The 14262-nt window shown below is 41.9% G+C and overlaps 1 protein-coding gene and 1 non-coding gene across 8 annotated transcripts in view; one reads left to right on the top strand and one right to left on the bottom strand.

The window, feature by feature from the left end:
• Positions 1–14262, top strand: part of ABHD3 (abhydrolase domain containing 3, phospholipase) — a 53874-nt gene that overhangs the window by 20132 nt on the left and 19480 nt on the right. For 3 of the 7 annotated variants that reach the window (NM_138340.5, XM_011525847.4, XM_047437313.1), the window contains exon 4: positions 678–723. The exons of 3 other annotated variants lie outside the window; for them this stretch is intronic. In NM_138340.5, coding sequence (NP_612213.2) covers positions 678–723 — 46 coding nt within the window. Of the gene's footprint in view, positions 1–677; positions 724–2752; positions 2883–14262 lie in introns of those variants that run through there. One more of the 7 variants, XM_017025574.2, reaches the window with a different exon arrangement.
• On the bottom strand, positions 1054–1125 carry MIR320C1 (microRNA 320c-1). Its single transcript, NR_031565.2, has one exon. It is a non-coding gene; the product is annotated as a microRNA 320c-1 (primary transcript).

Here is a 14262-nt window from a genome sequence, read left to right as displayed (position 1 = left end):
TTTGTTTAAAGCAAAAACAAGGCCAGACGCAGTGGCTCACGCCTGTAATCCCAGCACTTTGGGAGGCCGAGGTGGGCGTATCACCTGAGGTCAGGAGTTCAAGACCAGCCTGGTCAACATGGTGAAACTCTGTGTCTACTAAAAATACAAAAAAAAATTAGCCGCGCATGGTGGTGGGTGCTTGTAATCCCAGCTACTAAGGAGGCTGAGGCAGGAGAATCGCTTGAACCCTGGGAGGCGGAGGTTGCAGTGAGCCGAGATCGCACCATTGCACTCCAGCCTGGGTGACAAGAGCGAGACTCCATCTCAAAAAAAAAAAAAAAAAAAAAAAGCAAAAACATTTAAATTTGACTTGTATTTAGAATTGTTTTAAAAACACTTGTTGGAGGCCCACGTATGTGCGTAGGAAGAAGTTGGAAATAGTCTACTCTTGGTAGGAAAAATTAACATCACTTCAGTATACAGTTTTCTAATTTGAACCCACATGTGGAATTTAGAGAACTGGAATTTTATTTTAGTGCATTGCATTTAGATGAAATTGCCAAACATTACAACTACAAGACAGATTTTTAAAATCTTTTAGTGCTCTAAATCAGTGTCAGTAAGATGACTTTAATATTATATCATGAGCAAGAATCATGTGTAAAAATAACAAAAATTGCTTTCCTGGTTTTTAGATGTGTGGTTTTTAACAACAGAGGAGTGGCGGGGGAGAATCTCTTGGTAAGTAAATTTAAATGACAACAGTCTTAACTTTTTAAAGAATCATTTCTAGTTTTATAACAAAAAGCATATTCTTTTTATTTAAAATAACTCTGTTTATGTAAGCAATACAAATTTATTATACAAAAATACAGATATGGAAAAAAAGGAAATTTACAAGACCGATAATTGTATAACCAAGGAAATTCCCTTAGTCTGTGTTCATTCAGATTTCATATATAAATAAAATATATATAATATATTTCTATTTTTATAAAAATTAAGATTCTATTTTGTAACTAAACTTTTGTACTTACTACATTTTAACATCGATAGTTATTCACCTACATCATTTTTTTTCTACCCTCTCAACCCAGCTTTTCCTGACTCTGGGAAGAACTGGGAAGAGAAGGCCTCATTTTTAATGCAAAACACATTTTCCTTAAAAATTAACCAGTGCAAAACAAATTAACTAATACAGTGATTTTTTTTCCACTTATGAAATTTACATTTGTCATGAAACAATTTTGTATGTCACATGCCTGTTTGCCAGCTGAAGTTTACATGGTGGGAATGTTATTGAAACCTTTTAAAATTTATATCAGGTCTTTTTTTCCCCCTCTAATTCTGAGTTTTTGCTAGGATAGATCTTTCACCTCTTAGAAAATCACTCTATCTGATCTTTAAATCCGTGAGTTGGAATGAGAAATATTCCACTTGCTAAAATTTTCTTCAGCTTTTTAACTTTTTACAATCTCAACAGGTCAAAGGCAATTCTACTAGAATTGAAAGAAACTTTTTTTGGGTCATTGATAGAGAATGACATTAAGACTATAAATAAGTCATGCTGGAAATAAAAATTTACAATCAGGTCACAAATGTCAACACTTTATAAGAACTTGGGAAGTAAAAACCTCTTGTACTTGGCTTTACAGTGACTTAGGCACTGGAGGAAATGAAGATCAACACGATTTCGAAAGCAAAAGTTGCAGAGTGTTATGGTCTTACTCAAGTGCCTTGTAATAAATAGCTTGACGTGAAGGTTCACGTTTTCTCATTCAATCCAGCCCTTTAGGAATCTCGTAGACAGATAGTACTCTAAAGGGAAAGATTTGAATGTGTCACTGTGGCCCTGGCCCAGGCAAATCATTTTGAGCAGCTCCTGTCTGCTGTGCATTCTTCCAGGACACAAAGCCGGGGGGGAAGACATGGTCTGAGGCTCTCAAGGAAATAATGTGCTGCAAAGCCAAGCTCGTTAGTTCTTTATGAAGTGAGGGACAAAGATCTGTTCATTCAGCAGAGCCGTGGTATGTGCCTGTTAAATCGGGCACTGTGCAAGCCAATAGGGTGAAGATATACATATTAATGAGACACAGCCCTAATCTTTAGGAGCTCAAACTTTAGTTGTGGGAGAGACAGTCAAGTCCATTAAAATATACACAGTGCTAAGTGTTTAACAGTAGCCTTTGTTAAGGCTACAGAGCACAAAGGGAAAGAGTAACAAAGCGCCTGGGGGAGGTGGGAGAGCTTAGAGAGGAGGTAGCGTTCTGAGTTGGATCTTGAAGGCTGTGGTATTGAACCTCCAAAGCGGGGAGAGAGGCTCTCTCAGCGCAAAGACCAAGGTATTATAAAGTGCGTACAGTAGCAGCTACTTACTATGGCTGGATGATGATGATAATTTTATCTAATATTTATGTAATCCGTAGAATGTATCAGTTATGTCTTTTCCTATTTAATCTTCAGAAATAGAAACAGCCCAACAATTTAGGTAAGTATAGCCCCCATTATCCCTCATTTCCTTTTGGAGACAGGGTCTTGCCCTGTTGCCCAGGCTGGAGTGCAGTGGCACAATCATGGCTCACTGTAGCCTCGACCGCCTGGGCTCAAGTGATCCTTCCACCTCAGCTTCCCAAGTAGGTGGAACCAGAGGTGTGTGCCACCATGCCTGGCTGATTTTTTATTTATTTATTTGTTTGTTTTGTAGAGATGGGGTCTCACTCTGTTGCCCAGGCTGCTCTTAAACTCCTGGGCTCAAGCGATGCTCCCAAAGTGCTGAGATTCCAGGTGTGAGCCACTGCACCTGGCCCCTGTCCTGCATTTTACAGATGAAGAAAACAAGACACTGGTAGGTTAGGAACTTACCCCTCCCAACAAATGACAGAGCCAGGATTCAGACCCAGGTGATCTATGTGCTTATGTTTTTGACCATTATGTTTTATGCTTTCTTACTTTTCTGGAAGTGACAGGAATTTGCTAGAAGGGTAGGGCCAGAATCACATGTAGACTCCTAAGAACCTGGTATTGAATCATTGATATTTTGAAGCAAGGGCATAATTTGATCATGGTCATGTTTTAGAAAGAGAACCATGGCAGTGGTGTGTAGGAAAGAAAGAGATGGAGGGGAAGGAGGCTGGAGGCTGGAGGCTGGGAGGCCAGTTAGAAAGCAGTTACTACAGACCTACATGGAGTTTGGAGTTTGAAAGCAGACGGAGGGGGAATAAAGACGAGAGAACAAAAATGAGTAGTATTCAAGGGGAAGAAAATAGTATTAGTCGTATTGTGGGAAGTAAAGACAAGGGAGTCTAGGGTAATGTTTCTAGCTTGGCTGGCTGATGGAAGATGCTGCTATTTGCTGAAATAGGAAATTTAGAAGAATTTGTGAGATTATGATGTAACAAAGATAACAGATTCCATTTTAGATGTTTAGGGTGCTTTTAGATAATCCCGGTGGAAATTTTCAGTAAGTTTTTGGATGTACTGGACTGGCCTTCAGGAGAAATAGGCAAGCAAGAGAGAGACAGACTGAGATTATCAGTGTGCAGGTAGAAGTTGAAGCTCAGGAGTAGCTGAGATTAGTTAGGGCACGTGTAGAGTGAAAGGGGAGATTGGTGGTTAGAAGCTTAAGAAACAACAGGCTGGGAGTGGTGGTTCACACCTGCAATCCCAACACTTTGGGAGGCCCAGGTGGGAGGATCACTTGAGCCCAGAAGTTGAAGACCAGCCTGGGCAACATATGGAAACCCTGTCTCAAATATATATGTGTGTGTGTATATATATATACACACACACACACACACACACACACACATTTGAAAAAGAAAAAAAGAAACAACAAATAGGAAGGAGGAGAGAAAAAGAGGAGAAGGATACTTTAAAAACATACTCTCCTTAGTATTTAAAGTTAAATTAGAAATTTGCTTTGAAATAGTACAGCAACCCAGTAATTTTCAGCCCATAAGCTTTAATTGTATTTTTGAAAAACCTCCAGGAAGAATTCACTGAGTTCTAAGTAACGTAAGAGTAGCTGGGTCTCTGGAGTCTTACACAGTGTGTCAGTTAAATTTTGATTAACTAGTACCCCCCAGCAAATATGTGTCTCAAAATAGCTAATAACACACTAAGCTGTTAGAGTTACAGTCTGGCAGGCAGCTTGGGTTTATGTAGCAGAAAGTACCTCGGACTCAGAAGTCCCAAGTTCAAGTTCGGTTGTCACCACTAACCAGCTATAAGTGATAAAGTACAAGTCAAATAACCTTTCTGTTTCTCTTTTTCTTAACTGAATATGATAATGTGTACTTGCCACCTCACAAGGATGTTTCAAGTTCACATGAAATAATAAACATGAGACTGGGCACGGTGACTCACACCTGTAATCCCAACACTTTGGGAGGCTGAGGCGGGTGCATCACTTGAGGCCAGGAGTTCGAGATCAACGTGGCCAATATGGTGAAACCCTGTCTCTACTAAAAATACAAAAAAATTAGCCAGGTGTAGTGACACATACCTTTAGTCCCAGCTACTTAGGAGGCTGAGGCAGGAGAATCATTTGAACCCAGGAGGTGGAGGTTGCAGTGAGCCAAGATGGCATCACTGCACTCCAGCCTGGACGACAGAGCAAGACTCCATCTCAAAAACAAACAAAAAGAAATAATAAACTTGAAATATCTTGTAAGATAAAGCTTTTTAGGGCCAGGCACAGTGGCTCATGCCTGTAATCCCAGCACTTTGGGAGGCTGAGGCAGGCACATAACTTGAGCCCAGGAGTTCAAGACCAGCCTGGCCAACATGGCGAAACCCCATCTCTATTAAATTAAAAAATAATAAAAAATAAAAATAGGCCAGGCGCGGTGGCTCAAGCCTGTAATTCCAGCACTTTGGGAGGCTGAGGTGCGTGGATCATGAGGTCAGGAGTTTGAGACCAGTCTGGCCAACTTGGCGAAATTCTGTCTCTACTAAAAATACAAAATAGCCGGGCATGGTGGCACATGCCTATAATCCCAGCTACTCGGGAGGCTGAGGCAGGAAAATCATTTGAATCCAGGAGGCAAAGGTTGCAGTGAGCCCAGATCGTGCCACTGCACTCCAGCCTGGGCGACAGAGCGAGACTCCGTCTCAAAAAAATTTAATTAAAATTAAAATTAAAAAAAGTTTTTTATAACCCAAGGCATAACTACTACTGTATTAACTCGTTAGATCATTAGGGTATAAGAAGTATACATTTAATTAATTAGTTTACTTCCTTGAATTTCTTTTTTAAAGTACTTGTTCTAAATGGACATAATTACCTTTGGTTATTCTACATCCTTATTACTCTTTTTTGAGTTGGATCAAAAAATGAGATGCTAATATCGATTATTAGAGCTAACGTTGATATTTAGATCCCTTGATAATCCTGCTTCTTTCTGTCTTCAAGCTAAGAACAATTACTGTTTCATACTAGAGGAACTCTGATGTTTATTTATACCTCACCTTGTTCCAGAAATAATTTAATGTAGCTTAGACCCAGAGTAAGCGAGACTTTAGGGTAGGCATAAAAAAGAACAAAAGATGAATCAGCAGAGATCAAACAGGAAGGAACTGTCTCTAACAGAAATTAGCTCACAAGAACTAGCAAAGCTGAAATGAAATTTAGGGTAAGCAGTTCTCCTAGGAGTGGCAATGTTAGAGATATACTTAGAATTTATAGAGATTACTATGGCTCCTACAAAGGAGAATAAGGAAGTAGAAATTTTCCACTGCCATTCTGTCCTCATTTCCAATTAGTTATTGTAGGATTGAGGGAAAGCCCAAGGCCTTTCTTATTAGGAAATGAGCATCCTATACACCTTTTCTCCTTGGGTCTGTTTCCTGCAGGAGACAGACAGTCCTAGTCTCAGTAGAGCAAACCTCAGATATTCCTGTAGGGTTCTAGGAGCCTTGGAATAGACAGGACTTTTTCTTCTACTCTGCAGATTGGTTTTCAAGGATAGGAATCCAAGCTACCCACAAATTCTCTAACATTGTTGATTACTTTGTAAACTTAGTTTAGGAATAATTTACAAATAACTCAGCCAAGATTTGTTGAAAGCTATTTTTAGTTATAGGATCTATAACTAAAAGCTACAAATTTAGTTATAGATCCTATAACTAATATTCAAAATAGGCAAATCTGTAGACACAGAAAGCTATTTTTAGTTATAGGATCTATAACTAAAATTATAGATCCTATGTAAAGTTATAGGATCTTGGGTTCCCTATTTTTAGTTATAGGATCATGCAGACTTCTGTGTTCCTAACCCAGTAAGAAAAGCATCCTAGCCACTTTGGAAAATAGTCTGGCAGTTCCTCCAAAAGTTAAAATAGAGTTACCATATGACCCAGAAATTCCTGAAATGAAAATATATGTTCTCACAATAACTTATACATGAGCCAGGCACAGTAGCTCATACCTGTAATCCCAGCACTTTGGGAGGCAGAGGCAGGAGGATCACTTGAGTCCAGGAGTTCAGGACCAGTCTAGGCAACATAGTAAGATCTTGTCTCTACAAAAACAAAAAATAGCCAAGTGTGGTGGCATGTGCCTGTTATACCAGCTACTTGGGAGGCTGAGTACAGGAGGATTGCTTGAGCCCCAGGAGTTTGAGGCTGCAGTGAGCTGTGTTTGTGCCATTGCACTCCAGCTTGGGCAACAGAGACCCTGTCTCTAAAAAATAAAAATAGGTTGGGCACGGTGGCTCATACCTGTAATCCCAGCACTTTGGGAGGCTGAGGCGGGTGAATCACATGCTGGCTAACATGGTGAAACCCTGTCTCTACTAAAATACAAAAAAATTAGCCAGGCGTGGTGGTGCGTGCCTGTAGTCCCAGCTACTCAGGAGGCTGAGGCAGGGGAATCGCTTGAACCCGGGAGGTGGAGGTTGCAGTGAGCCGAGATCACGCCACTGCACTCCAGCCTGGCGACAGAGCAAGACTCCGTCTCAAAAATAAATAAATAAATAAATAAATAACCAAAAACAAAAAAGTAAAAAAACCTGTACATAAATATTTACAGCAACATTATTCATAATAGCCAAAAGGTAGAAACAACCCAGATATTCATCAACAGATGAATGGATAAGCAAAATGTGATAGCTCCATATCCTGGAATACTATTCCACATTAAAAAGGAATGAAGTCGGCTGGGCATAGTGGCTCACGCCTGTAATTCCAGCACTTTGGGAGTGCCCAGGCGGGCGGGTCACGAGATCAGGAGATCGAGACCATCCTGGCTAACACGGTGAAACCCTATCTCTACTAAAAATACAAAAAAAAAAAAAAAAATTTGCCAGGCGTGGTGGCAGGCACCTGTAGTCCCAGCTACTTGGGAGGTTGAGGCAGGAGAATGGCGTGAACCCAGGAGGCGGAGCTTGCAGTGAGCCAAGATTGTGCCACTGCACGCCAGCCTGGGCAACAGAGCGAGACTCTGTCTCAAAAAAAAAAGGGAATGAAGTCTTGAATGCATGGGCACTTTGAAAGCATTATGCTAAGTGAAGAAGCTCATCTCAACAGGCCACACATTGTATGAGTCCATTTATATGAAATATTCAAAATAGGCAAATCTATAGACACAGAAAGTAGATTAATGGTCACCTAAGGCTTGAGGTGGACGATGATTGCTAATGGAGGTTTCTTTTTGGTGTGATAAAAATATTCTTAAATTATGATGGCACAACACTGAATATATTAAAAACCATTGACTTCTACATGAATTATGGTATGCAAATTACATCTCATAAAGCTTTAAAAAGAAAATCCTCCTTTAGGTGCTTTCTAGTTCAAGTTAGGGCTGGCTCAGCAGGTAAGGGAGGGCCAAGAAAGTCAAGCAGAAGCTGGAAAATAATTTAAAGCAGCACTGCCCAAAATGTATCCTGTGGACCAACTCTTTTCCTCAGGGTACCTGACTCTAGTCCCAGACAAGATAAGGAGCTGAGATAGAATGTCAGCCAACTTAAGGCCGGATGCGGTGGCTTATGCGGGTAATCCCAGCACTTTGGGAGGCCAAGGCGGGTGGATCACTTGAGGCCAGGAGTTCGAGACCAGCCTGGCCAACACGGTGAAACCCTGTCTCTACTGAAAATACAAAAATTAGCTGGGTGTGGTGGCGCATGCCTGTAATCCCAGTTACTTGGGAGGCTGAGACAGGAGAATCACTTGAACCCAGGAGGCAGAGGTTGCAGTGAGCCAAGATCACACCACTGTGTGTAGCCTGGGCTACAGAGCAAGACTCTGCCTTAAAAAAAAGTTAGTTTTAAAAATGGACAAAAATTTTATGTATTTATTGTATACAACATGATGTTTTGAAATATGTATACATTGTGAAATGGCTAAATCAAGCTAATCAACATATACATTACCTGAGAACATTTAAATGAGTAAATGATTTACCTAAGTTTGGTGGATGAGTTCAGAGCTGGTTTTGACTCCCAGGTCAGCACTTTCTACACATCATGATGGCTATAAAATATTGTTGTAGACCCAATGTTTGTGTTCCCTGCCCCAGCATTCATATGTTGAAGCCTTAACCCATCAAGGTGATGGTATTAGGAGGCACGGCCTTTGGAGGTAGTTAGGCTTAGGCGAGATCATGAAGGCAGGGTCCCTATGATGGAATTAGTGCCTGTAGAAGAAGAGGAAGAGACATCAGAGCTTTCTCCCTCCACCATGGGAAGACTTTCAAGTATATAATACATTGCCATTAATGATAGTCACCATGATGTACAATAGATCCCTTGAACTTATGCCTCCTGTGTAACTGAAATTTGGCTGAAGTGATCTGCCCACCTTGGCCTCCCAAAGTGCTGGGATTACAGGCATGAGCTACCAGGTCCACGGCCTGTAAATTATTTTTTTTTAAATAATGGTTAATATACTTTAAAAGCACATAAACCAATTTCAGTTCTGTACACTTTTTAGATAAGCTGACTTTTTTTCCCTCATCGCAATATTTCCTTAATGAGAGAAGCAGCTTGCTGATTTACATTCTGATGCCAGCAGCTTATCCTGAACTGGCATTTTGAATGGCTCTACTTCAGAGGTCCACAAATCCTCAAAGACAAAACAAAACAAAACCACCTCAGGCTGGGTGCGGTGACTCATACCTGTAACGCCAGCACTTTGGGAGGCCAAGGTGGGTGGATCACGAGGTCAGGAGATCAAGACCATTCTGGCTAACACAGTGAAACCCTGTCTCTACTAAAAACACAAAAATTAGCTGGGCGTGGCAACAGGCGCCTGTAGTCCCAGCTGCTCGGGGGGCTGAGGCAGGAGAATCGCTTGAACCCAGGAGGCAGAGGTTGCAGTGAGCCGAGATCATGCCACTGCACTCCAGCCTGGGCAACAGAGCGAGACTCAGTCTCAAAAAAAAAAAAAAAAAAAAAAAACCCACCTCATTCCACAGATGAGGACACCTCTGGAGAAGTGGGGTGACAATCAGAAGTCATAAAGCTGATGAGTGGTCTCACGGCAGGAACTCAGGCTGTGCAGCCTGGTGTCTTGACCTTTCAGTACTGGCTTCCAGTCAAGTCAGCCTGAAAATCTGGGGATAGATGGAAGGAGGGTTTTCAGAGAGAGGATCGTCCCTCCAACCTCAGATTCTTTGGGGTTAAGGACTCAGGTTTAGAGAAATCTGTTTTTGTTTTCTACTAGCTTTTCCATGGAAGCTAGTAGTGTAGGAGGGACTTAGAGTTCTTCCCCCACCCCATCCCTCCAGTTCCTCCACCCCACCCCACTGTGGGCCATTTTCTGAAGAAGGCATTTAGAAAGGATTAAAGGACCTCCCTGATAGCCAGAGGGAGGAGGGGTATAGAGGTCAGGGCCAGCCAAGGCACAATTCAGTTTCAAACTTCTACCTTCAGGCAGTGCCTTTCTCACATGCAGTACCTCCCTACTGGACATATTGTTGCACCCAAGTCGGCCCTTTCCTAAATGCTTCAAAAATAACCTGTTCCTGCTCCCCTTACCTTCCTCTATATAACAACCCAGGAAGGCTGGTCTCAGCCAGGTGTAGGTGTGAACACATTTAATCCTTGAGAATTTTCTCCCAACATTGATAGGTGCAGTCCAATAATAACAAAAATTTTAAACGTAGAAGATTGTGACCAGGTGTGGTGGCTCACACCTGTAATCCCAGCACTTTGGGAGGCCAAGCCAGGAGGATCACTTGAGCCCAGGAGTTGGAGACAGGCCTGGGCAACATAATGAGACCTTGTCTCTACAAAAAATTTAAAAATTAGCTGGATATGGGCATGGTGGCACGTGCCTGTAGTCCCAGCTACTCAGGAGGTTGAGGCAGGAGGATCGCTTGAGCCCAGGAGGTTGAGGCTGCAGCGAGCCATGATCATGCCACTGCACTGCAGCCTGGGCAACAGAGCAAGAACCTAGCTCAAAAAAAAAAAAAAAAGTTCAAAATAAAAGAAAGAATGTTTTGTTGAATAATGGAAGAGTTTTAGAAATAATAATTTAATAGCTAGGTATCATGCTTAATATGTGTCAGGTGATCCTGTAAGGTATGAGATGTTTGGGAGTACTTCCCCATACACTTCAAGGAATCCAAGAGTTCAGACCCATATAGAACTGGATTTCCCTTCTCCCAAGTCACTCAAGAAAGGTTTTACCATTCTTACCACTGCAGCATCCTCCTTGGCTTAGCTCTCACCCTACTTATTCTCTTGTTGCAGAGGTTCTCAACTCTGGCCACCCATTAGAGTCCCCTGGGAAGCATTGAAAAATACTGATCCCTGGCCAGGTGTGATGGCTCACACTTATAATCCCAGCACTTGAGAGGCCGAGGCGGGTGGATTGCATGAGGCCAGGAGTTTGAGACCAGCTTGGCCAACATGGTGAAACCCCTTCTCTACTAAAACTACAAAAATTAGCCAGGCATGGTGGCAGGTGCCTCTAATCCCAGCTACTCAGGAGGCTGAAGAAGGAGAATTGCTTGAACCCAGGAGGCGGAGGTTGCAGTGAGCCGAGACTGCCACTGCACTCCAGCCTGGGTGACAGAGCAAGATGCTGTCTCAAAAAAACAAAAAACAAAACAAAACAAAAAACAGCTGGGCGCGGTGGCTCACGCCTGCAATCCCAGCACTTTAGGAGGCCAAGGCGGGTGGATCACCTGAGGTCGGAAGTTCCAGACCAGCCTGACCAACATGGAGAAACCCCGTCCCTACTAAAAATACAAAATTAGCCAAGCGTGTGGTGGTGCATGTCTGTAATCCCAGCTACTCGGAGGCTGAGGCAGGAGAATCGCTTGAACCTGGGAGGCGGAGGTTGCGGTGACCTGAGATCGTGCCACTGCACTCCAGCCTGGGCAACAAGAGCGAAACTCCATCTCAAAAAATATTGATCCCTGAACCCCATCCCCCAGAGATTCTGATTCATTTGGTCAAGGGTGGAGTCCAGGTATCTGTAATTTATTTTAAATAAACACTTCTTGGTGAGTCTAATGTACAAACAGGGCTGAAAATCCCTGGGAGGTGATGAGTAGTCCTGCATGTGATAGCCTCCATGACCCAGGTGAGTCACGAGATTTGCCTCTTAGGAGCCTGGACTGAAAATAATTCCTGGCTGACCTGCTCTAAGCCACTAACAAAACTGCTCATTTATTGGTGTAGCTTGTATAACCTGACATCATGAGCATGCACGGCTGCCATCTGGAGCGCTGGCAGGAATGTGACACAGAGGCCAGCCTCAAAGCTGGCCAGGATATTTCCTGGGGCCCTTTGTTTTATGGGTAGTTGATTTTTAAAATTAGCAAACTCCCAGGCAAATTTAGACAATGGTCATTTAATATGTCTATCAATGACTGGGTGAAATGATGGTTCATTAAACTGCTGGTTTTATTTATGTGCAAGTAATTTTTCTTCTGTCTGACTCATTATTTAATTAACTCATATTCCAAAAATAAAATCAATTTTCCTAGGGACAACTTAGGCAATTTGTTAGGTACTGGACAGGGGATGGGTGGAATGAAAACCACATCACACTGTAGAGATCAATTAAGGAGCATAATTAGTCCTATTTTAAAAGCATTGTTCCTCTTGGGGAGGCCCACATCCACACAGGAATCACAGACTTCATTTAAATGCATCTTATCCAATATTTGAGTGCAAATCATTAAGTACTTGAGAGAGGAATACTCAATGAAATATTCTAAGATCCTGATGATCATCAAACATTACAGTTAATATGAAACGTAAATGATTTTTTTACCAGGCATTCGTGTGTCTTTTTCAGATTTCACTTTGCTGGACAGAAAACTAAAATTCTCGATAGCTTAGTTCAGCATTGGAAGTGCGGTAACCCCAGCCCTGAAAGAGAAGGATTCTGAGTTATGGCTTCCACTGCAGAGTAGCAAATTAATCTCCTCCAAGAATAGCTAGGGAGAGTCTGGCTACCTGATTAACAGAGGGAATTTTAAAATTTGAGTCTAGGTCAAAAATTGTTTTTTTAATGAAAAGAATTTTAAATTCTGAAACAGATTTTCTAAATCTGGTACAAGAAAACTGTCAGGAGAAATCAGCTTGTCAGCTTTTAAGAAGCCCTTAGTTGATTAAGAAGGATAAATTAGATGTAGTCCATAGGTAAATATAAAATATATGCTTTATTGTTTTTCTATTATATATGAATAATAGTAATTAATGATATTTCATTCTCTTCAATGCATCTTTTAAAACTAACCTCTTTCAGCCATTAAATTACTGTTGTTGGCCAGGCATGGTGGCTCACGCCTGTAATCCCAATACTTTGGGAGGCTGAGGCAGGAGGATTGCTTGAGCCCAGGAGTTTGAGACCAGCCTGAGCAAAATAGTGAGACCTCATTTCTATAAAAAATAATAATGATAATAAATAAATTACTGTCATTGCTCTCTGATCATAGTCACAGTTGGATAATTTAAACAACCTTGGCTTGTAATTATCATCAAATTATTCTAACTTATTGAATGTTTATGTCCAAATATCTGCTGGAAGTGATATATCTTTTGGATTTTTTACATTTTTCCCATCCTCATCCCACCCAGAAGGAGTTTCACCACCCAGCAGAATCCTCCCAGGTCTTCCTTCGTCTCTCTTCTGATTAGATGTGATTTCATCTACCAGAAGGATAGCTGCCAGTTGCATTACTAGCCCGAGTAACAGAATTTAACCAGAGTTTTTTGTCTAAAAGGCTTCTAGTTGTATCTTCAGGCCTGGAGACAGTTTCTGCAAAGCCTATCAATTCAATATACTGCCCCATAAATGTCTTTGCTGTGTATTCTGGGTGATTCTTTAATGGGTCCCAAGTTCTGTAGGCTGTGCTTATTTCTAACTTCAGCTCCTGTGAAGAAAGAAGACAGATGATGTTTCCTGTTGGAACCCATCAAGCAGCAAGCGGCTGTGCGATAGAACTGCATAGTTGTGTATATCAGAACTTATTAGTTAATCAGGTCTCCTCCCTTTTAGTCCTGTGTGTCAGTTCAGTTTGACAAGGGTTTATTAACAAAGCTAGAGGTGAAAAGACAGTGATAGAGACTCACATGGGATAGGGCATGGAGCAGGCTGGACAGGGCAATTAGCAGGATTGAGAACAGCTGTGAGGTCCTAAAGGACAGGGGCCAAGTCTCACCTGTTGTGACATTTATTTATTTTTTTGAGACAGGGTCTAACTCTGTCACCCAGGCTGGAGTACAGTGGCACGATCTTGGCTCACTGCAACCTCTGCTTCCCGAGTTCAAGCAATCCTCCCACCTCAACCTCCCAAGTAGTTGGGATGACAGGCATGTGCCACCACACCTGGCTAACTTGTATTTTTTGGTAGATAGGGGGTTTCACCATGTTGTTCAGACTGGTCTCGAACTCCTGACCTCAAGTGATCCACCCTCCTCAGCCTCCCAAAGTGCTGGGATTACAGGTATGAGCTACCATGCCCAGCCTTCTTGTGACATTTATTCCATGCACAATTTCAACAGGCAAGGTTGACAGAGAAGGACACCAGGCAGGTGAAGGTCACAGGTGGCAAGGATATTAAGGGGCCTAGCAGGCAAGAGAACAGTATCCCATTGGTCTGCATCTGTACATTTGGAGAAATAATAAAATACAGAGCTGGAAGGATTGCTCGGCGTCATATTGTGGAAAGTCTTGAATGCTTGGCAGAGGCTTAATTCAGTAGGCAGTGAAAAGCTAATGAGAAATTTTAAGCAGAAAGACTGTCATGATTACAGCTGCAAGTGTTCATTAGGAAGATTAATCTGATAGTGTAGATTAATGATGTAGGATTATGAATGA

This window comes from Homo sapiens, chromosome 18 (assembly GCF_000001405.40).
Source record: "Homo sapiens chromosome 18, GRCh38.p14 Primary Assembly".
Classification (NCBI taxonomy): domain Eukaryota; kingdom Metazoa; phylum Chordata; class Mammalia; order Primates; family Hominidae; genus Homo; species Homo sapiens.
The sequence above is the reverse complement of the archived record's forward strand: the minus strand, read 5'-3'. Positions and strand labels throughout refer to the sequence as shown.